The sequence below is a fragment of the Homo sapiens genome, chromosome 17 (assembly GCF_000001405.40).
Source record: "Homo sapiens chromosome 17, GRCh38.p14 Primary Assembly".
Classification (NCBI taxonomy): Eukaryota; Metazoa; Chordata; class Mammalia; order Primates; family Hominidae; genus Homo; species Homo sapiens.
Window position 1 is genome coordinate 2584313 of NC_000017.11, and position 22600 is coordinate 2606912.

At 44.1% G+C, this 22600-nt stretch overlaps 1 protein-coding gene and 1 pseudogene across 4 annotated transcripts in view, besides 7 other annotated features; one reads left to right on the plus strand and one right to left on the minus strand.

Moving 5' to 3' along the window:
- EIF4A1P9 (eukaryotic translation initiation factor 4A1 pseudogene 9) lies at positions 1875 to 3568 on the minus strand (annotated as a pseudogene).
- Positions 8548 to 9276: an enhancer, noted in NCBI's record as "H3K27ac-H3K4me1 hESC enhancer chr17:2496154-2496882 (GRCh37/hg19 assembly coordinates)". NCBI's record gives its function as "activates a minimal SCP1, AML or CMV promoter by ChIP-STARR-seq in naive H9 embryonic stem cells {active_cell/tissue: H9 hESC(naive)}" and the evidence as "EXISTENCE:reporter gene assay evidence [ECO:0000049][PMID:30033119]".
- Positions 8548 to 9330: a biological region, named in NCBI's record as "H3K27ac-H3K4me1 hESC enhancer GRCh37_chr17:2496154-2496882".
- The window catches only part of PAFAH1B1 (platelet activating factor acetylhydrolase 1b regulatory subunit 1), a 92433-nt gene continuing 78703 nt past the window's right edge, over positions 8871 to 22600 (plus strand). For 2 of the 4 annotated variants that reach the window (XM_011523901.3, NM_000430.4), the window contains exon 1: positions 9342 to 9694. The gene's annotated coding sequence lies outside the window, so the exon portion shown is untranslated. Of the gene's footprint in view, positions 9019 to 9341; positions 10083 to 22600 lie in introns of those variants that run through there. The other 2 variants (XM_017024701.2, XM_011523902.4) reach the window with 2 other exon arrangements.
- Positions 9111 to 9330: a silencer, noted in NCBI's record as "silent region_8005". NCBI's record gives its function as "represses an Ori minimal core promoter by ATAC-STARR-seq in GM12878 lymphoblastoid cells {active_cell/tissue: GM12878}" and the evidence as "EXISTENCE:reporter gene assay evidence [ECO:0000049][PMID:35858748]".
- Positions 9381 to 9610: a silencer, noted in NCBI's record as "silent region_8006". NCBI's record gives its function as "represses an Ori minimal core promoter by ATAC-STARR-seq in GM12878 lymphoblastoid cells {active_cell/tissue: GM12878}" and the evidence as "EXISTENCE:reporter gene assay evidence [ECO:0000049][PMID:35858748]".
- Positions 10021 to 10080: a silencer, noted in NCBI's record as "silent region_8007". NCBI's record gives its function as "represses an Ori minimal core promoter by ATAC-STARR-seq in GM12878 lymphoblastoid cells {active_cell/tissue: GM12878}" and the evidence as "EXISTENCE:reporter gene assay evidence [ECO:0000049][PMID:35858748]".
- Positions 10141 to 10190: a silencer, noted in NCBI's record as "silent region_8008". NCBI's record gives its function as "represses an Ori minimal core promoter by ATAC-STARR-seq in GM12878 lymphoblastoid cells {active_cell/tissue: GM12878}" and the evidence as "EXISTENCE:reporter gene assay evidence [ECO:0000049][PMID:35858748]".
- Positions 14263 to 14557: a silencer, noted in NCBI's record as "tiled region #7021; HepG2 Repressive non-DNase unmatched - State 19:H4K20". NCBI's record gives its function as "represses a minimal TATA promoter and a strong SV40 promoter by Sharpr-MPRA in HepG2 cells {active_cell/tissue: HepG2}" and the evidence as "EXISTENCE:reporter gene assay evidence [ECO:0000049][PMID:27701403]".

A 22600-nucleotide genomic window follows, 5' to 3' on the forward strand; every position in this document is an offset into this window, starting at 1 on the left:
CGCCCAGGCCAGAGTGCAATGGCGAGATCTCAGCTCACTGCAACTTCCGCCTCCTGGATTCAAGCAATTCTCCTGCCTCAGCCTCCAGAGTAGCAGGGATTACAGGCGCGCACCACCATGCCTGGCTACTTTTTTGTATCTTTAGTAGAGATGGGGTTTCACCATGTTGGTCAGGCTAGTTTCAAACTCCTGACCTCGTGATCCACCTGCCTCGGCCTCCCAAAATGTTGGGATTACAGGCATGAGCCACCGCACCCAGCCATTTTAACTTTTTATGAATATTTATTCCTCTAAAAAAGAGGAAAGTAATGTGTCTCTTCCTTTCCAATTCCGTCATTTCTTTTTCTTATCTTATTGCATTAGATTAGAATTTTGAGAGCAGTTGTTACTATGAATAGTAATAGATGACATCCTTGTCTTGCTCCTGATTTTATTTTATTTTTATTTTTATTTTTGAGACCATATCTTGCCCTGTCACCCAGGCTGGAGTGCAATGGCAAGATCTTGGTTCACTGCAAACTCCACCTCCCAGGTTCAAGCAATTCTCCTGCCTCAGCCTCCCGAGTAGCTGGGATTACAGGCGCAAGCCACCATGCCTGGCTAATTTCTTTTTTTTTTTATCTTTAGTAGAGATGGAGTTTCATTATGTTGGCCAGGCTGGCCTTGAACTCCTGACCTTATGATCCTCCCACCTCAGCCTCCCAAAGTGCTGGGATCAGGTGTGAGCCGCTGTGCCCGGCTTTTTTTTTTTTTTTTTTTTTTTTTTTTAAGACAGAGTCTTGCTCTGTCACCCAGGCTGGGGTGTAGTGGCTCAATCTCAGCTCACTGCAGCGTCTGCCTCCCGGGTTCCAGTGATTCTCCTGCCTCAGCCTCTCAAGTAGCTGGGATTACAGGCACACTCCACCATGCCTGGCTAATTTTTGTATTTTTAATAGAGACGGGGTTTCACCACGTTAGCGAGGCTGGTCTCGAACTCCTGACCTGAGATGATCCTCCCGCCTTGACCTCCCAAAGTGCTGGGATTACAGGCATGAGCCACTGTGCCTGGCTGTTGCTACTGACTTTAACAGTTACACCTTTGGCCAGATGTGGTGGCTTACGCCTGTACAGTCCTACTTTAAATCACTCCTTCATAAAATCTCCTTTAAGCCTTCTAGGTGAGAATTAATCTCTTACTCCACTAGTTAAATAAAACTAGCAGAAAGGGACAGAAAGTTTATTTTACCTGGCCAGGTATGGTGGCTCATACCTGTAATCCCAGCACTTTGGGAGGCCGAGGTGGGTGGATCACCTGAGATCAGGAGTTTGAGACCAGCCTGACCAACATGGAGAAACCCCGTCTCTACTAAAAATACAAAATTAGCCAGGCGTCGTGGTGCATGCCTGTAATCCCAGGTACTTGGGAGGCTGAGGCAGGAGAATCGCTTGAACCTGGCAGGTGGAGGTTGCAGTGAGCTGAGATCACGCCATTGCACTCCAGCCTGGGTAACAAGAGCGAGACTCTGTCTCAAAAAAAAAAAAAAAAGAAAAGAAAAGAAAGTCTGTTCTACCCTTTGCCTGGTTTATGTGGTGACATGCCAAATAAATTTGATACATCCTTTTGTACTATGTTTCTCCATATTAAAACTTCAAAAATTATATATATATATAATTGCCTCACATATTATATATATTATATATATAAATCAAAATTATATATATATCAAAATTATATACATTATATAATATATAAAAATCAAAATTATATATATTATATATAATATAAATCAAAATTATATATTATATAATATATATCAAAATTATATATATTATATATAATATATATAAATCAAAATTATATATATATATAATTGCCTCAAAATAATTGCCTCAAATTGCCTCAAAAAGTGACATGTATTCAAAGAAAAAAATAACAAGATGTCCATTCCTTGGCTCCCTTCCCTCCCCGTTCCTGCTGCTCCTCAGTCCCCTGAGATTGAACCCTGGCTGGGGCTGGGTCGCAGGACAGCCCCTCAGATGAGGTCAGCAACATTGAGGGACATTTCCTCAATGGAGGTGTTGTAGACAGTCTCGATATCTCAAAGAGTCCTCTTGTCTTCTTCTGTCACCATGCTAATAGCCACACCCTTACGGCCAAACTGTCCACCTCGACCAATTCTGTGGATATAGTTTTCTCTGTTGGTGGGAAGGTCATAGTCGATGAGTAAAGAAACCTGCAGCACAGCAATGCCTCTGGCCAGCAGGTCAGTGGTAATCAAAACTCTGCTAGAGCCAGAACAAAACTCCCTCATTGGCCAGGCACGGTGCCTCACGCCTGTAATCCCAGCACTTTGGGAGGCCGAGGCGGGCAGATCACCTGAGGTCAGGAGTTCGAGACCAGCCTGACCAACATGGAGAAACCCCATCTCTACTAAAAGTACAAAATTAGCCAGGCGTGGTGGCGCATGCCTGTAATCCCAGCTACTCAGGAGGCTGAGGCAGGAGAATCACTCGAACCTAGGAGGCGGAGGTTGTAGTGAGCTGAGATCACGCCATTGCACTCCAGCCTGGGCAACAAGAGCAAAACTCCATCTCAAAAACAAACAAGCAAAAAAACAAAACAAAACAAAAACTCCCTCATGATCACATCTTGTTCCTCTTGACCTTTATCTCCATGCATGGCAGAGACAGTGAAATCTCAAGCATGCAACTTCTCGGGGGAGCCAGTCCACCTTCCTTCGGGTGTTGATGAAGACACCTGCCTGAGTGACGGTCAGGGTTTCATGCAAGTCATACAGGGTGTCCTGCTTCCACTCCTCTCATTCCACGTTGATGTAGAATTGGCGGATACCCTCCAGGTCAACTCTTCCTTCTTGACAAGAATCTGAATGGGGTCCCTCATGAATTTCTTGGTCACCTCAAGTACATCAGAAGGCATTGTAGCTGACAGCAAACAGGATGTTGTTGTTGAGCTTTTGGAATATGTCATAGATCTGGTCCCTGAATCCACAGCTTAACATTTCATCAGCTTTGTCCAGTACAAATATCTTGATGTATTTGGGAGACAGGTATCTCCAGTTAAGCATATCACACACAGGGCCAGGGGTACCCCCAATTATATGGGGAGCTTCCATCTGCAGTTTCTGCACCTCAGCACACACGTGGGTGCCCCCTCTACAGGCGTGATAGGAGGCACCCATGCAGTCTCCGAGTGCCATGCCCACCTTCTATATCTGCTGAGCCAATTCCCGAGTGGGTGCTAGAACCAAAGCCTGGGTGGCCTTTAGATCTAATTCAATCTGTTGCAGAATTGATGTGGCAAATGTGGCAGTTTTCCAGTCCCAGACTGGGCTTGAGTGATCACATCATAACCCTTGATACAAGGTAGAATGGCTCGCTGCTGGACGGCAAAGGCTTCTCAAAACCATAGGCGTAGACGCCACGGAGAAGGGACTCCAAGAGGTTCATGTCATCAAAGCTGTCTACAATCTCATTCCAGTTACTCTCTATGACGTCTCCAGGCTCCATCCCATTAGGGCCATTGTCTCTGGATCAGGAATCCTGACTCGCTGACATGATCCTTAGAAACATACATACATATATATATGAATGTTTCTCTCTATATATAGAGAAACATACACACATATATGTATATATACACATATGTATATATATGATTCTTAGAAATACACAAACGTATACATGTTACATATATGTAACATATAAGCATGCATATAACATATACACATAGTTACATATATGTAACATATACACATAGTTACATATATGTAGCAGTTACATATATGTAGCATATACGCATAGTTACATGTATGTAGCATATACGTATGTTACATATACATATATGTGTGTATATATACATGCATGATCCTCAGAAACATAGATATGTGTATATATATACAGACATCCTTAGAAACATATATATGTGTATATATATACTATATATATGTTTCTAAGGATCATGTCTGTGTATATATATATACACATATATATGTATATATATTTAATTTTATTAATGTTATTTTTTTGAGACTGAGTTTCGCTCTATCGCCCAGGCTGGAGTGAAGCGATCTCGGCTCACCTCAACCTCTACCTCCCGGGTTCAAGCGATTCTCCTGCCTCAGCCTCCTGAGTAGCTGGAACTACAGGCTCGGGCTACCACACCTGGGTAATTTTTTTTTTTTGTATTTTTAGTAGAGATGGGTTTTGCCACACTGGCCAGGCTGATCTCGAACTTCTGGTCTCAGCTGATCCGCCTGCCTCGGCCTCCCAAAGTGCTGGGATTACAGGCGTGAGCCGCCACGCCCGGCAAGTGCTGCTTTTTAAATATTCCTTCTATGTCCAGGCTGAGTTTCACTCTGTTAAGAGCCTTTAATTTGTTTTTATGGACTCACAGTGTCCATGACACAGGTGGATGTCATGATGCTGAGATGAGGAAGGACGGGTCTAGTTGGACTTGCCCTCGCTGACATATCCATGCCTTGGGGAAATGCAGGTACACACAATAACTAGCTATAATCTCCCAGAGTGAGTCGCATGACAGGCGGGTCGTGATTCTCCTTTAAATGGGACCTTGATTCACATAACTTGGATGCCCAAAAGCTCCCTTCTCACAACTTGCTAATTGCTTTCTATCAAATTTGCACACATAACAATGTACATTTGCCTATAAATTATAGAGGACAGTTAATTTCTCAAAACAACACTTTAACATTTGCCCTTATCATAAACAGACTTTTGCTCTGGAGATACCTTTAGAAGACTTTTTGTCCTTTTCCCAATAGAAGTATTTTTGGAGTGTTTCTTCCAGTCAGCTTATTTGCAGAATTGTTTAAACTGACACTAATTTTACTGCAGCAATTGAAATAAATGTTTCCAGGCTGGACGTGGTGGCTCACGCCTGTAATCCCAGCACTTTGAGAGGCTGAGGTGGGCAGATCACCTGAGGTCAGGAGTTCGAGACCAGCCTGGCCAACGTGGTGAAACCCCATCTCTACTAAAAATACAAAACTTAGCTGGGCATGGTGACGGGCGCCTGTAATCTCAGCTTCTCAGGAGGCTGAGGCAGGAGAATCGCTTCACCCGGGAGGCAGAGGATGCAGTGAACTGAGATTGTGCCATTGCACTCCAGGCTGGGTGACACAGTGAGAGTCCGTCTCAATAAATAAATCAATAAATAAATGTTTATGTTTCCATTTTGAAAATGTCTACTGGAAAAATAAAGATCTGCAATTAAAATGAACAGGGAGATTCTTGGATTGTGGTAAGTAAAATGGATGTTTATACTTATTTTTTTTCAAGAAACATCATCTGAAATGTCCATTATTAAACGTTTCCTGGATGGATATAGTAAGTTCTGTATAAGTCCTTACAAATTCTGATTGATAGCACAGATGTCCTAATTCTACATTTTCAATAGACAAGTGTTTATTAAGATAGATCTATCAGGCCGGGCGTGGTGGCTCACGCCTGTAATCCTAGCACTTTGGGAGGCTGAGGTAGGTGGATTGCTTGAGCTCAGGAGTTCGAGACCAGCCTGGGCAACATGGTAAAACCCCGTCTCTACTCAAATACAAAAAAAAATTAGCCGGGCGTGATAGCGCACGCCTGTAATCCCAGCTACTATGGAGGCTGAGACAGGAGAATCGCTTGAACCTGGGAGGCAGAGGTTGCAGTGAGCCGAGATCATGCCATTGCACTCCAGCCTGGGCGACAGAGTGAGACTCCATCTCAAAAAAAAAAAAAAAAAAAAAAGATAGATCTATCATCCTAGCAGCTAACTGAAGGGAAGGTGCATAGAACCGTAACACATCACTTCACATCAAGGTAAGCACGTAACCGTTTTCTGTTCAGAAAAATCATAATCCAGGGAGAAAGTTTTATACCTTACCACAAAGGGAGTTTATTGTTTTTTGAAGGACCACTATAGAAATAAAATTTGATATAAATTTAGTGCATAATTACATCATATAGATTTTAAATCTTTCTAAATATGAGTCTGTGAGCTCAAGGTTTATAGGAGTTAGTGCTACCTATTTGTATGAAGTCAGTGTTTATAAAAGTGTTTCTGATCTCTTTCTGGGCAATTTTATTTACTTTTAGAGCATTCGTTTAAAAAATAAGGAACTGATTTACTCAGCTAATTAAATATTAAGTAGCATGATATCAGACCATAATAAATATTTTAAAAGGTAAAAATGAAGGGAGGGTGGATTCTTAGAACAAAGGGATGCTAATTTATTGCATGTTTATTGACTGTTATTGAACCCAAGCAATAGCACAGACCAAAGCTCTATGCCTCATTTTATTGTCCTTATCTGAAAATCCCAGAAATGTAAAACTGGACAAGACTTTCTAAGACAATTTGATTCATCTCTGGCAAATCTTCATGAGGCAAAAACCCAAGGCCTTCATGCAATTGGCTCATGTTGCCTTTGAACACTTAGGGGATAGAGACAATCTTTCTTTTTTACTCATTTTACTTATTTAATTTAACTTTATTTTGAGACAGGGTCTTGCTCTGTCACCCAGGCTGGAGTGCAGTGGTGTGATCTCGGTTCACTGCAGCCTCCACCTCCTGGGCTCAAACGATCCTCCCATCTCAGCCTCCCAATGGGTGGAACCACAGGCCCAAACCACCACATCTGGCTAATTTCTCTATTTTTCCGTAGAGACGGGGTTTCCCTGTCTTGCCCAAGCTGCTCTCCAACTCCTGGGCTCAAGAGATTCTCCCACCTTGGCACCCCAAAGTGCTGGGATTACAGCCTTGAACGACTGATCCCAGCCTATTTTTAGAGATGGGGGTCCAGTCTGCCCAGGATACAGTGCAGTAGCATGACCATGATTCACTGCAGCCTGGACCTCCTGGGCTCAAGCGATCCGCCTGCCTCTGCCTCCTGGGTAGCTAGGACTCCAGGCATGCGCCACCACACCCAGCTAATTAAAAGTTTTTGTTTTTGTTTGTTTTTTTGAGACAGACTCTGGCTTTGTTACCTAGGCTGGAGTGCAGTGGCATGATCTTGACTCACTGCAACCTCCGCCTCCCGGCTTCAAGCGATTCTCATGCCTCAGTCCCGAAAGTAGCTGGGATTACAGGCACACACCACCATGCCCGGCTAATTTTTGTGTTTTTAGTAGAGATGGCATTTCGCCATGTTGACCAGGCCGGTCTCGAAATCCTGACCTCAAGTGATCCACCTGTCTGAGCCTCCCAAAGTGTTGGGATTGCAGGCGTGAGTCCCCGCGCCCGGCTGTTTTTCTTTTCTTTTTTTGTTTTTAGAGATGAGATCTTGCTTTGTTGCCCTGGCTGGTCTGGATCTCCAGGGCTTGAGCAATCCTCCCATCTCATCCTCCCCAGTAGCTGGGACTACAGGCATGTGCCACCACACTTAGCTAATTTTTAAAATTTTTTTGTAGAGATGAGGTTTCACTATGTTGCACCTGCTGGTCTCCAACTCCTTGGCTCAGGTGATCCACGGCCCCCCTCCCAACCTCCCCATCCCTGCCTTGGCCTCCCAAATTGCTGGGATTACAGGGGTTAGCAACCTGTGCCTGGCAGAGATAACCTTTCTTGAACAAAGGAAACTTGTTTTGGTATCAAGCAACAGTAATGTTTACATGAGTTACCTATAAGTCCCCACGAAACTAAGATACTTTACACAGGCTGCACCTCCTCTGTAATTCTCACAAAAGCCGGGTTAGTTATTAGGTGTCTTTTATTGAGAAACTGAGGCCAAAGAGAGGTATGGTAATTTGCCCCAGGTCGCGCTTCTGGCAAGTGCGGGGTCCAGGATTTACACCTAAGTTGTCTCTTTCGTTAACTCTGCTGCTTCTCAAATGCAGTATATATATATATATTTACCTACATAAAGTGACGCAATAAAATCAGTACACATAAGCTTAAGCCTGTTTCAAGAAAAAAGCTTCCTTGGACAATACAAATGAATGATAAGATAATCTCATTTAAACCTGTTATTAAAATAATAGCCCATATTGAATTATTCAGAACCCCAAATCTCGCTTTTTAAAAATCAAGGGTCGGCTGAGCACGGTGGCTCACGCCTGTAATCCCAGCACTTTGGGAGGCAGAGGCGGGCGGATCACGAGGTCAAGGGATCGAGACCATCCGGGCCAACATGATGAAACCCCGTCTCTACTAAAAATACCAAAAAAATTAGCCGGGCGTGGTGGTGGGCGCCTGTGGTCCCAGCTACTCGGGAGGCTGAGGCAGGAGAATGGCGTGAACCCGGGAGGCGGAGCCTGCAGTGAGTGGAGATTGCACCACTGCACTCCAGCCTGGGCGACAGAGCGAGACTCCATCTCAAAAACAAAAACAAAAACAAAAAACAAAAATTAGCTGGGCGTGGTGGCAAGTGCCTGTACTCCCAGCTACTCGGGAGGCTGATGCAGAGAATCGCTTGAACTCGGGAGGCGGAGGTTGCAGTGAGCCGAGATCGCGCCACTGCACTCCAGCCTGGGCGACACAGCGAGACTCCGTCTCAAAAAAAAAAAAAAAAAAAAAAGGAAAAGAAAAGAAAAATCATAGGTATCTGTGTGGAATAAATTAACTACAAATCCCCAAGACGACTCTTGTCATCAATATTTCAATCCATAATTTAGCAAACACACACAGACATCCCTTATAGGGATACAGTTCCAGGCCTTTCTTTGGGCATCCGTTTCGAGACCTGGAGAGACTCTGATGTCTGTGTGTGACTAAGGAGAAGAATAGCTGAATCATATCCAAAAGCGAGTCCTCCCAATTAAGAATCTATAATACAAATCAAGACAATGACAGCATTCCATCTGCCTTTTAACCTCAACAGCTCCTCCTCCCAAGCCAGCCAGCCTACTCCCCTCCCTCATTCCCCCCCAAACTGGGAAATCATCTCGGAGGCCGGAGGCAGAAAGGGGCGGTAGGTGGCCGGGCCCCGCTGCCTCTCGCGCCTCCCGGGGCCCGCCACACACGGTGCCAACGGGACGCCGCGGTCGGCCGCATGAGCGCAAAAGCAGGGCAGCGAGGTGAGCAGAGCCAGAGTTCAGAAGGGGCCGCAAGTCAGACGAGGGGCTGGGAAAAAAGAGCCTCTCCCAAGGTTAACAGAAGCGTGCGGAGCGTGAGAAGCAGCACCTCGCACGCAGACTCGCCCGCCGGCCGGGTGGCACCGCTCAGCCGCCCGCCCGCTAGAAGGCAGCGCGGCCCCGGCCCGGCCCAGCCCGGCGCATGCGCCGCAGCCCCTCCTCCGCTCCCGGCGCCCGCCCCTCCCTCTTCCTGGCGGGTCTGGGGCGGCGGCGGCGGCGGCGGCGGCGGCGCGGTGACGTCAGGGCGTTGGGGCAGCTCCTGTGACAGACGGAGCTGGAGCGGCGGGGCGGCGGCGGAGTCCGGCGGCCGGGAGAGCGAGTGAGCGAGCGGAGGAGCAGCGACACGGGAGTCTAGGGAGCGAGAAGGAGAAGGAGGGGAGCGCTCGGGCGCGAGCGAGAGAAACCGCGAGCGCCGAGCTTGGACTCGAGCCCCGGAACGGCTGAGGAGCCCGCCCGCTCCCCTCCCCTCCCCCTCCCCGGGCCCGGGCCCAGCGCGCCATCCTCCCCCCTCCTTCCCTCCCTCCCTCCTTCCTCCCTCCCCTCTCCCTCCCCCTCCCCCGCCGGTGGATGGGAGTGAAGGACGGAAGAGGCCCTGCGGAGGCGGCGGTGCAGCGCTCCGGTAAGGCGGCGCGGGTCTGCGCCCTCCCCTCTGTCTCCTCCACCGCGCCCGGGCGGCTGCAGGCCGGACCCGGCGGCCTGACGATGTGGCTGCGCCGGTCCCCTCCCTCCCATTCTCCCCTCCCCCTGCCTCCGCCGCCGCCTCCTCCTTCTTCTTCTCTCCTCGCTCTCAAAATGGCGGCCGCGACGGCCGTTGAGTGAGAGACCCGGAGGAGGGGGACTGTCCGGGGAGGGCGCTGCCCTCGCTCCTCTCCTCCCGGGCCCGGCTTTGGGGGCTGCCGGCGCCTCTGCGACCCCCGCCCCGCGGCCCTCCCCAAGAAGGGATCGCCCTCCTCCCTCGGTGACTTAGCAAGAAAAGTATTCTTGGGTTGGAAGGGCGTGGGGACCAGGTAGCTCTCTGATCTTGGGGAAAAGGATCGGCCCTGCTCTCCCCGGCCGCGGAGACGAGCACCGCAGTCCCCACCCCACCCTCAGTTATCGGCTCGGGGACCGGCTCAGCCCCGCGCCGCCGGGGCACTCATAGGGCCTTCCAGGCATTCCGTCCCCGACTGGTCCTTAAGATGGGGTTGACCAGCGGAGGGTGGCCCACCGTCTCCCTGGCCCCCGGTGCGGCGGTCCAGCCTCAGCACCCGCCGAGGAGAGGCAGCCCGGCCCACCGAGCAATCCGCAGCATCCACCCACCGAATCTGGCAGGATTTTCTTTCTGCCACCGGCTCCTCGGTCGGGAGTTGCCTTTTGATGCTGTTAACATTCAGCTTCGAGGCTCCCTGCCATTCCCCTTCGTCTAATCTCATCTCCCTGCCCCTTTGGGAAACGCAGTGCCTCTGCATATTTACCCTCTTTAGCCTCCCACATGAGAAAATGCCTTTGAGGTGGTCGACACATTTTGACTCTGCACCTCTAAACGTAGCAGTAGAGGGGAAGAGGTTTTCCGTATTTAGTAGGAGAGAGCAAGGTACCATAGCTTTATATGTTATGCTACCTTTCTTCAGTGACTTAGCAAGAAACTCCTTGGGAAGAGGGCAGGAAATTTTCTTTTGGGGTTTGGGCCCAATTTATATCAGTCTTTTGGTTAAGAAAATACGCCTTTGAAGAGGAGGACCAGATTTGTGGTCTCGTTCTCAATGGGCGATGTCATGCCAAGGTCCCCCCTCCCTCTTTCCTTAAGTGGCAGTCCGGACAAATAGAGATATTACTGATATTCCCATCTCTCCTTTAAGCACACAGTCTTGGAGTTTCATAAGGTTTTAAAGGCCAAACAAACAATTTGTGCCATTTTTGGCAATTCTGTTTTTGTTGGGGGGGTGGGTTATTTTGTGTGAATTTCTTTTCGAGGCTAGGGCGGAGGAGACAGTGCTTGGGCCTTTCATACCAGTGATAATGTCATCCCTCCCTTTTTGCCACAGGAGTGTTTGCTTTTTTTTTTTTTTTTGCTGCAGCAGGGCGGCTTAATTGCTGCGGGGTCCAGTCTCATAATCAGGAAAATTTCCTGTTGACTGTGTCATAGTGATGTTGAATATATAGTAAAAGCTTTTACTTAAAAAATTCTGATTTGGTTTTAAGGCATTAGCTAGCTTTTAATCTCTAATGGGTGTCTTTTAGGACACAGTTTCACAAAATAATTAGCAGTTGCAAATTGCAGTTTTTAATAAAGCAGAAGAGTAATCTGTATTTAGGGTGATTTCTTTCGTGTTCATTAATGATCATTGTTTGGATTGCTCAGAAGGGGGGAATCTCCTAAAAGAAATTGAAGGCTGGTATATATTTTAAAATCAGAAAGGAATCCAATTTTTCACTTGAAGTATTTCTGTATATGTTGATTTTGATGGAGCAAGCCCTACGTTGGTACCTCCCCCCACATCCTTTTTTAAAAAAATGGGCTAATATTTGTGGATGCTGTGAACAGCCATTGAGCCGAGAAGACTGGGTGGAGTAAGGGAGCAGAAGCTGTGAAATGCTGTATTGCCCTTTCACAGCGTCTTTCTCTTGCTTATGTTTTGTAAGGTTATTTGATATGAATGGTTGCTACAACTAAGTCATTTCTCTGTCGTAAGTCTTAAAATCTAATGTTTTCCACCTTTTTTGCATGATGGGCATTGAATGATTGGAATAAAAAGCAATGTCCCTGCTTTAAAATAGACACTTATTGTCTCCTTATTTGTCCCTGTGTGTGTGTGTGTATATATTAATATATAAAGATACACACACACATATATCTACACTCTTGTTAATGTTTTTTATTGTTCTCGCCATATAAGTATAAATTAATGTCAGAAATATTTGGCAAGAAATAGGGGGTACAGGAATACTGCAATAATCTAAGAAAAATACTACAATTGTTTTACTTAAAACAGTAAATCTATTTGAGATTTTAAAATAGTGAACATAAAAGGTGGGGAAAAAAGGATAAGATAATTTGCATGAAAGCCCCTTCAGATCTTTTCTCTTGTGTTGCTCTTTGAAAGGGACCTTTTTGTGAGATACTGCCATAAGCTAGGGTAGGTCATTTTAATGCCCTGTATCAAGCATTCACATGAGTAGACATCTTCAAAAGAATTTCACATATAGGTGGTAAATGTGACTTTGATTAGCCTTATGAATGCTTGTCAGTGTATGATGTATTTTTACACTTTTGTTCTTTTTAATATGATTAGAAAGTAGAAGGGTTATTATGGTGAGGAAATGAGTAAGGTTGGGAATGATAATTCACTGTATTATGTGTCTGACATATCCCTATTCCTACTGTTTGTAGAATATCAAAGCACACTAAGGTCCAGGTGCAGTGGTTCACGCCTGTAATCTCAGCACTTTGGGAGGCCGAGGCAGGTGGATCACCTGAGGTCAGGAGTTCGAGACCAGACTGACCAATATGGTGAAACCCCGTCTCTACTAAAAATACAAAAAAATTAGCCATGTCTTGTGCCATGCGCCTGTAATCCCAGCTGCTGGGGAGGCTGAGACAGGAGAATAGATTGAACCCGGGAGGCGGAGGTTGCAGTGAGCCGAGATCGTGCCACTGTACTCCAGCCTGGGCGACAGAGCAAGACTCTGTCAAAAACAAACAAACAAAACCCCACACACTGAGTGGTGATTTTTCAGTAGATTGTTGTTAATCAGGAGCTTAAGATAATTTGACTTAAGGAGCTTTAGTTCCAAGTGTATGTAGTGTTTCTTGATACATGTTGGAGAATCTTAGGCTTAATTTGGAGATTAATTTTTAAAATTATTCATAGTTCTGTATAGAACTCTTAATGAGATTGGAAGGAATTTTTTAGTACAATTTTTTGTTACCTGTTTTTCCAGATAAAATATCTCTAGTGTAAAGAGATTTTGAGATGTTTCTGGGAAGGAAAAGTCAGAATCATAATTTATGCTTTTCTAGCTAGAACATCCGTGTCTTTTTTTTTTTTTTTTTTTTTTTTTGAGGGGAAGTCTTGCTCTGTTGCCCAGGCTAGAGTGCAGTGGGGTGATCTCAGCTCACTGCAACCTCTGCCTTCTGGGTTCAAGCGATTCTCCTGTCTCAGCCTCTTGAGTAGTTGGGATTACAGGTGCCTGCCACTACACCTGGCTAATTTTTGTATTTTTAGTAGAGATGGAGTTTCACCATGTTGGTCAGGTTGGTCTGGAACTCCTGACCTCGTGATCCGCCCGCCTCTGCCTCTCAAAGTTCTGGAATTACAGATGTGAGCCACCACACCCTTCCCTATTTTCTATTTTTTAAAAATAATATAAATGTTTCTCTCTCAGTTGTATACTAAGTAACAGAGAGACAGAAAGTGTGTGTGTGTGTGTGTCTGTCTGTCTGTCTGCGTATATGAGACTTTATGGCTTATATTTTAAGTATCCAGCAAAAATAAGACCCTCTTGTTTACATGTGGTTCATGTTATTCATAATTTGTCATCTTTGTGAATAAGTCATGGATGCTATAGAAATTGTCAACATTAAGATGAAGATGTCTGGCCAGACATGGTGGCTCACACTTACACTCCCAGAACTTTGGGAGGCCGAGGCGGGTGGATCACCTGAGGTCAGGAGTTCAAGACCAGCATGGCCAACATGGTGAAACCCCGTCTCTACTAAAAATACAAAAAAATTAGCCGGGCATGGTGGCGCACACCTGTAGTTCCAGCTACTGGGGAGACTAAGGCAGGAGAATTGCTTGAACCCGGGAGGTGGAGGTTGCAATGAGCCGAGATCGCACCATTACGCTCCAGCCTGGGCAACAAGAGCGAAACTCCATCTCAAAAAATAAATAAATAAATAAAAATAAGATGAAGATGTCTTAAAAAACCCAAAGCAAAATATTAGGGCAGAGTGAATTTTCAATATCTTCCCATTGAGTTCTAAAGCAGTGAGTCATGCGCTCTTTTGCCAAAGGGACTTGAGGCTCGGTTGGTTTTAAACCAAGCTGGCCATTTCTGCTTGTGGTCCTAAAATATTTTTTACTTGCCTCTAAGTCCCTGTTAACGAAAATATTTCATTATGACAGGTAACTTATTTTTATGTGCTTTGGAAAGAGGGAAATAGTTAAGTTTTGAAGTGGAAATTCTTTGCCACTGTTTTTATTATGTCATCTACAGTACAACTATTACTTTTTTTTTTTTTTTACTTAGAAAGTTGTTCTATTTAAAATAAAACTAGTGGTATACAATACGAGTTCTGAAAAAAAGACAGACCTACCGTTCTCCAGAAGATGCTTAGCTGTAAATTGAATCCTCGTCATTGAAGGTCAAACATTTTGAGAAATCTGTATTTCATGAAGAAAGATGCTGTATTATGTAAGCGTAATAGTTAACTGCAGTGAAGGCTTTTTGGATTGTTCTTTGTTGCTGGTTTGGCATGGCACTTTTTGGCTAGTCATTGAAATGGAACCTTAGTTTAACTTCTGTTACATATGTAATTTTTAACCTTGGCATGGCAGTCATAGAATTTAATTGATATTTATGAAATGCTTTATATTCATTGGTGGCAGGCATCATAAGCACTTATTATTTTATTTCTTGTTTTCTTTTTAAAAGATGGTGGCTTCTTGTTGAAACTTACCTAGATAGGACTAATCTGCATTTGTCAAGGATACTTCTGGAATGGTACTCTCTATTGTCTTTTAACATTGTCATAAACGTTTCTCTAGAACTTTCTAAATATTGAGCTTGGTACTGATTTTCATTTGTTCTTCTGCCAGCTACTTTTTGAGGTAGATTGGTATTTTTATGGATGAGAGAACTGAAATCCAGAGAATTTCTTTTCCTGTCGAATGTTAGGTTAGTGACTAGAATAAGGTAAATATTGCAGTCACAGAACTCTTGGGTACTGCTTTGTAAAATCACACATTCCTTCTTTCTATAACGATTGGACTCCTTAATCTTTGTTAAATGGTGAAAGTTGGTGGTATTTATTGCCTGCATCATTTAAATTGGCATTTATTAACATATGGTCTTGTATTGTTGACTGCTTTGCATGCATAAGGCTTTTGGCATTTGAGTAGCTTCTCCCAAAAAATGCCTAATACTGCTTTACAGATAGTATTAATAAGTGAATAAGTACTAGTTGCATTTGACTGAATGGTTATGTGAAAGGAAATGTGCTATCCTAAAGATCTTTGTAATAGTTGACTCCGGTGATCTCAAGAGAATTAAGGTGATGGAGGAAAGAGTGGCTGCATTTCGTATACAGAGATTTTATATTCTCTGAGGGAACAGGGTTACACTTTGACAGAATTCTTAAGTATAAAAAGTGAATTAACTCAACTGGACAAATTACCTATACATTTTGATTATCTGCTTTTGGGGCTCTTATGTTGACAAGAATTGACAGTTAACTGAGGCCATTAAAAAATTTTCTGAGACTTTTTACAAAAGTAAAATTAAGAATCTTTGAACATTTTAATAAATTTAATTTTTGAAAGCATTGTAGAAAGTTATATGTTTATTAAAATTTTACAGTGCAGATTAATCCATTTTTAACCTTTTTTTTTTTTTTTTTTTTTTTTTGAGGTAAGAGTCTCACTCCATCACCCAGGCTGGAGTGCAGTGTCTCGATCTCAGCTCACTGCAACCTCCACCTCCTGGGTTCAAACGATTCTTCTGCCTCAGTCTCCCGAGTAGCTGGGACCACAGGCACATACCACCACAGACAGCTAATTTTTGTATTTTTACTAAAGAACTCCTGGCCTCAAGTGATCCACCCGAGTTGGCCTCCCAAAGTGCTGGGATTACAGGTGTGAGCCACCACACCCAGCCCAATCCATTTTTAATCTAAGGTAAAGATAGAAGAGTTTGTTTTATGGGTTGGGCACTGTGGTTCATGCCTGTAATCCCAGGACTTTGGGAGGCCAAGGCGGGCAGAAGGTGATCAGGAGTTCCAGACCAGCCTGGCCAATGTGGTGAAACCCTGTCTCTACTAAAAATACAAAAATTAGCCAGGTGTGGTGGTGGGTGCCTGTAATCCCAGCTACTTGGGAGGCTGAGACAGGAGAATTGCTTGAACCCGGGAGGCGGAGGTTGCAGTGAGCCGAGATCGTGCCATTGCGCTCCAGCCTGGGCAACAAGAGTGAAACTATCTCAAAAAAAAAAAAAAAAAACCAAAAAAAGAAAGAATATGTTCTATGATATACTAGTGTTTTATCTATTTCTTTTCATATTTTTATTTTATAAAAAATATGCTAACTACAAAAGAAAGAAGATGGAGATAAATGAGTCAGATGTTTTGATTATTTAGTATTTTGGTTAAGTTTTTCTTTTTGAGACGGACTCTCGCTGTGTTGCCCAGACTGTAGTACAGTGGCGCGATCTCGGCTCACTGCAACCTCCGCCTCCTGGGTTCAAGCGATTCTCCTGCTTTAGCCTCCCTAGTAATAGCTGGAATTACAGGCATGTGCCACCACACCTGGCTAATTTTTTATTTTTAGTAGAGATGGGGTTTCGCCATATTGGCCAGGCTGATCTCGAACTCCTGACCTCAGGTGATCTACCCACTTCAGTGTCTGAAAGTGCTAGGATTATAGGCATGAGCTATCATGCCTGGCCTTGGTTAACTTTTTATGGGTGAGGAAAGGCTATACATTTAGCATTGTCAGAGAAAATGAAATAAGCTGTTGACTAAACTCATACATGAATATTTATTTATTATTTATTTATTTATTTTTCAAGACTGAGTCTCGTTCTTGTCGCCCAGGCTGGAGTGCAGTGTTGCGATCTTGGCTCACTGCAGCCTCCGCCTTTTGGGTTCAAGTGATTTTCCTGCCTCAGCCTTCTGAATAGCTGGGATTACAGGCATCTGTTACCCTGCCCAGTGAAGTTTTTTGTATTTTTAATAGAGATGGGGGGTCTCTGTTGGCCAGGCTGGTCTCGAACTCCTGACCTCGTGATCTGCCCACCTTGGCCTCCCAAAGTGCTAGGAGTACAGGCATGAGCCACCGTGCCCAGCCACACCTGGCTAATTTTTGTTTTTTGAGATGGAGTCTCCCAATCTTGTTGCCCAGGCTGGAGTGCAATGGCATGATCTTGGCTTACTTCAACCTCTGCCTCCTGGATTCAAGCAATTCTCCTGCCTCAGCCTCCCGAGTAGCTGAGATTACAGGTGCCTGCCGGCATACCTGGCTCATATTTCTATTTTTAGGAGAGATGGAGTATCACCATGTTGGTCAGGCAGGCCTTGAACTCCTGACCTCAGGTGATCCTCCTGCCTCGGCCCCGCAAAGTGCTGGGATTACAGGCATGCACCACGGCGCCCGGCCTAATTTTTCTATTTTCTGTAAGAGGTGAGGTCTTGCCATGTTGCCCAGGCCAGTCTCAAACTCCTAGCCTAAGCAAACTGCCTCAAGCCATCTGCTCACCTTTACCTCCCAATGTGCTGGGATTACAGGCATGAGCCACTGCTCTCAGCCTAAGAAAAAATATTTTTAAAGTTGACAAATGTAGAAATGAGCTAAGATTTGTCAAAGGGATCAATAAGTAATGAAATATTCTGGTTATCAAAGTTTATCATATATGAATGAACAGTGAAAAAATTGGAAATAACAGAATTAACAAATTTTAATTTGTCTTTAATGGTTCAGCAGTCACTTAAAAATTTTTACAGTATTACCATGATGCTATAGTCTTTATCATCACAAATCCCAACGTAAAGATAAAAAAAAACCCCACTTAATAAAATCATTATTCAAGCTTTCTGGCTCTTCGACTTGGGCTAAATAAGTGTTCTGTATAATGGTATGTCCTTAAAGAGAAATTATCTCCACCTACTGAAAAAAAAAACAAAACAGCGAGGGCCTATCAATTTGAGAGTTTAAACAGGCCTGTGGTTCGCATTTTTATGGAAGCATCATAATACAACCCCAAGACATCAAATGTCACTAGCACAGAAGACATCTAGGATCCAAAGTTCTTAGAAGAATATTACTTTTAAAAACATTAGAAATAATACTTTACGTGGGACTCAACCTTGACTCTTCTTTCTTCCTCTATATCCAATCAATTACCTTGTCTTGCCAATTTTACCTCCTCGATATTTGTTGAGTTAGTCCCCTTCTATCCATACTTACCATTACTACTACTACCATCATAGTTCACATAATCTCTTACCCAACTAATTTCACATCGTCTCTCTAAATTCAGTCTTGTCCGGTTAACGTCTTTCTGCTACATAGTCCCCAGTCATCTATCTAAAATGCAATCTGACCATATCACACTTCCCTACTTAAAAAGAACCCTCCCTTGGCTCCCTTTGTATTTATTTAACAAATATTTACATAGCACTTACTAATACGCCAGGCTCTGTTTTAAGTGCTTTACAAGTATTCGTTTACTCCTCACAACATTCTGGGAGAATTTAGCTAGCCCTTTGTGACAGCTTTGTAAGTAGCAGAGCTGAAAGTTGAACCTCAGGTACTGAGGCTCCACAGTTGGGGCTTTCAGCCACCGTACTGTGCTGACTCCCTCTTTCCTATAGTCCACATACTTTAACACAGTTTGCTAGGTCTTCAGTCACTTCAAGTTTCATTTCTAATCAAGCCCCACCTTGCTCACACTCTAATATATATATGCTTTCTCCCTCCCCACTTTGTGATCTTTGTGATTCTACTCCTGCTGTCCTCTCTGTCTAGAGCAACTTGTAGTATCTCAGAACAGAGTGCAGTGAATACATTTTGACAAAAGAATGATTTTTTTTTTTGAGACAGGGTCTGGCTCTGTTGCCCAGGCTGGAGTGCAGTGGCTAACTACAACTCTGCAAATCCTGGGCTCAAGCAGTCTTCTTGCCTCAGCCTCCTGAGTAGCTGGGTCTACAGGCCCGCGCCACCATGCCTGGGTAATTTTTGTATTTTTCAAAATACAGGCCAGGCGCGGTGGCTCACGCCTGTAATCCCAGCACTTGGGGAGGCCGAGGCAGGTGGATCACCTGAGGTCAGGAGTTCGAGACCAGCCTGGCTAACATGGTGAAACCCCGTCTCTACTAAAAATAAAAAAATTAGCTGAGCGTGGTGGTAGATGCCTGTAATCCCAGCTACTTGGGAGGCTGAGGCAGGAGAATTGCTTGAACCCAGGAGGCAGAAGTTGCAGTGAGTTGAGATTGCACCACTGTACTCCAGCCTGGGCAAAAAGAGCAAAACTTTTGTCTCAAGGAAAAAAAAAAGTATGTATATATGTATACACACACACATTTTTGTTTTTATTCAATTTCATAAGAAGGGGGAAAATCTTGATTGACATTGGGTAATTTGAAATTTTCTCCAGATTCTTTTTTTTTTTTTTCTGGACACGGAGTCTCTCTCTGTCGCCTAGACTGGAGTGCAGTGGCACGATCTTGGCTTACTGCAGCCTCCACCTCCCAGGTTCGAGTGCTTCTGCCTCAGCCTCCTGAGTAGCTGGGATTACAGGCATGCGCAACCACGCGCGGCTAATTTTTGTATTTTTAGTAGAGATGGGGTTTCACCATGTTGGTCAGACTGGTCTCAAACTCCTGACCCCGTGATCCTCCCACCTTGGCCTCCCAAAGTGCTGGGATTACAGGCGTGAGCCATCGCGCCTGGCCAGATTATTTTTATTTTCTTTTTTGAGACGGAGTTGAGGTCTTGTCGCCCAGGAGTGCAATGGCGTGATCTTGGCTCACTGCAACCTCCACCTCCCAGGTTCAAGAGATTTTCCTGCCTCAGCCTCCCGAGTAGCTGGGATTACAAGTGTGTGCCACCACACCCGGCTAATTTTTGTATTTTTAGTAGAGATGGAGTTTCACCACATTGGCCAGGCTGGTCTCCAACCCCTCACCTCAAGTGATCCCCCCGCCTCGGCCTCCCAAAGTGCTGAGGTTACAGGTGTGAGCCACCGCACCCTGCTGAGATTCTTAATAAAATGATTAAATGGATAGGAAAATCAGTGTACTTGGTATTTTAAAGCTGTCCTGAGTTGTTATGGTATACCTTGTATGTGACCTGTGTCATTTAGGCTATTTCAGGGCCCATCAAATCTACACACTAAAGACAGCCAAGAGATGATACTTGAACTGAATCTTGAAGAATGAATAATTGGGCCAGGCGTGGTGGCTTACACCTGCAATCCCAGCACTTCGAGAGGCTGAGGTGGGTGGATCACTTGACGTCAGGAGTTCGAGACCAGCCTGGCTAACATGGTGAAGCCCTATCTCTACTAAAAATACACAAATTAGCCGGGCCTGGTGGTGCATGCCTGTAATCCCAGCTACTCGGGAGACTGAGGCTGGAGAATCACTTGACCCAGGAGGAGTATTGGAGTGAGCCGAGATGGCGGCCACTGCACTCCAGACTGCTGAGCGACAGCAAGACTCTGTCTCAAAAAAAAAATAATTGGAGTGAACGTGGGAGGTCATTTTAGGTGGAGGGAACAGCAACATAAATAGTCACAGAAGCATGAGAAACTATTTTATGTATGCTGGTAATAGTTTGGCAGAGGGGATTGTAGAATTTGAGGTTGGAGAGGCACGTCTGAGCCAGATTGATAGAATTTGTATATTGTGTAGCTTGTAGGCAAGTTGGAAGTCATTAAACAATTTCAGGTAAAAACAAGCATTATGAGATGATGTATATTTTGGAGAGATTATGCAGGTGGCAATAATGAATGTGGATTTTGGAGGTCATGTAGACTTCTTCAGAAAATAATGATTAGTGCTTGAAGCAAGACAGTGACATTAAATGTTGTTGAGTGGAGAAAGGTTTAGGAGGTCCGGTTGTGAATGAGTAGTGTGATGGGGAGAGGCAAGTTGAAACAATTCAGATTTGTAGTTTGGGTGACTGAGTGGAACTGAGAAACGAGGTGTTATTAGCCATAGCAGAGAATAAGAGGAGGAGTTGTATAGAATATTACATAAAGCAGCCAGATAAATGTTCCTGAACCACAATTTTCAAGTCACTTTGTTGCCAAAAACCCATCATCAGCTTTTTACTGTCTTTAATGAAAATGCAAAGAACACAATGGCAAAACTATGGTACTGAATAGGTGTTTATTGAATCCTAAATGGGCACTCAAAGACTTCTCTTACATGTCCTGGCTTTTCATCCTGTTTCTTATTGCCTTCCATGTCTACTGTGATTCAGCTTTGGGAAGATATTTTCTGTTCCTTTTGCTGCTTTGACTCCCTGCCGCGCCCCCCTTACTTACGCTTCAAATCTGCCTACCAGGTTTTCCATTTCCAGGCAGTCTTTTCTAATTTTTTCCACCTGGAAGAAACTTTCTTTTCTCTGAGTTCGTAATCTTATAATAAGTACCTATTTTTCTCTTCTTCTAGCGTATATAAAATGTATTATCTGACGTGTCAAGTGAGTTAATGCATTTAAAGAGCCTAGGAATGGTACCTAGAACATAGTAAGTACTCAATAAATATTGTTATTATGGTGATGATTGATGATGATTAAGATGAGGTGACCTTTGCTTTCTGCTTTCTTGTGATGGCAAAAATGATTTGTTGTCTGTCTTTGGACACTAGGGAAGCAAAGTCTTTTACTTTGCTTATGTATATAAAAGTACAAAAGTGAAATTATTCTTGAGCTGTAGGTGAGAGATATACAAAGCTAGACAAGCCCTTAAATATTGACGATTTTGTTAAGCTTCACCACAGCTGTTTGAGGTAGGCGGTATATTAGTCCCTTTTTAAAAATGGGTAAATAGGCTTAGGAAATTTGTAGATTTCCCCAAGGTCACACAGTTTGTAAGGAGCCAGATTGATATATGAATCTTAACTATTCGACTCCAAAATTCTTCACAGGAGGGCTTCATGTGTGTAGGACTTACCCTTCAGGGCTTTCATTTCATTTATGTATCCAACTTGTTACCTGTCAGAAAGCCTATCATGAGACCTATGCCCAATGGAAAAAAAGTGCTTTTTGAGTTTTCTTTAATTTTTTTTTTTGGAGACGAAGTTTCACTCTTGTCGCCCAGGCTGGAGTGCAATGACGCTATCTTAGCTCACTGCAACCTCTGCTTCCTGGGTTCAAGCAGTTCTGCCTCAGCATCCTGAGTAGCTGGAATTATGGGTGCCTGCCACCAAGCCAAGCTAATTTTTGTATTTTTAGTAGAGATGGGGTTTCACCACGTTGGCCAGGCTGGTCTTGAGCTCCTGACTTCAGGCCCGCCTTGGCCTCCCAAAATGCTGGGATTACAGGTGAGCCACCATGCCTGGCTAAAATTTTATTTTGTGTATTTACAGTTTAATTTGTTTTCTATTTTTATTAGGGAATATGTTAAATGTTAAAAGTACCTGCAGTAGTAAAACAGAATAGCCATATAAGTATTACCAGAATTGACAGATGTTAACATTTTGTCATATTTGCCTCAGAGCTTTTTTTTTTTTTTTTTTTTTTTTTTTAAGACGGAGTCTCGCTCTGTCGCCCAGGCTGGGCTGGAGTGCAGTGGCGCAATCTCAGCTCACTGCAACCTCTGC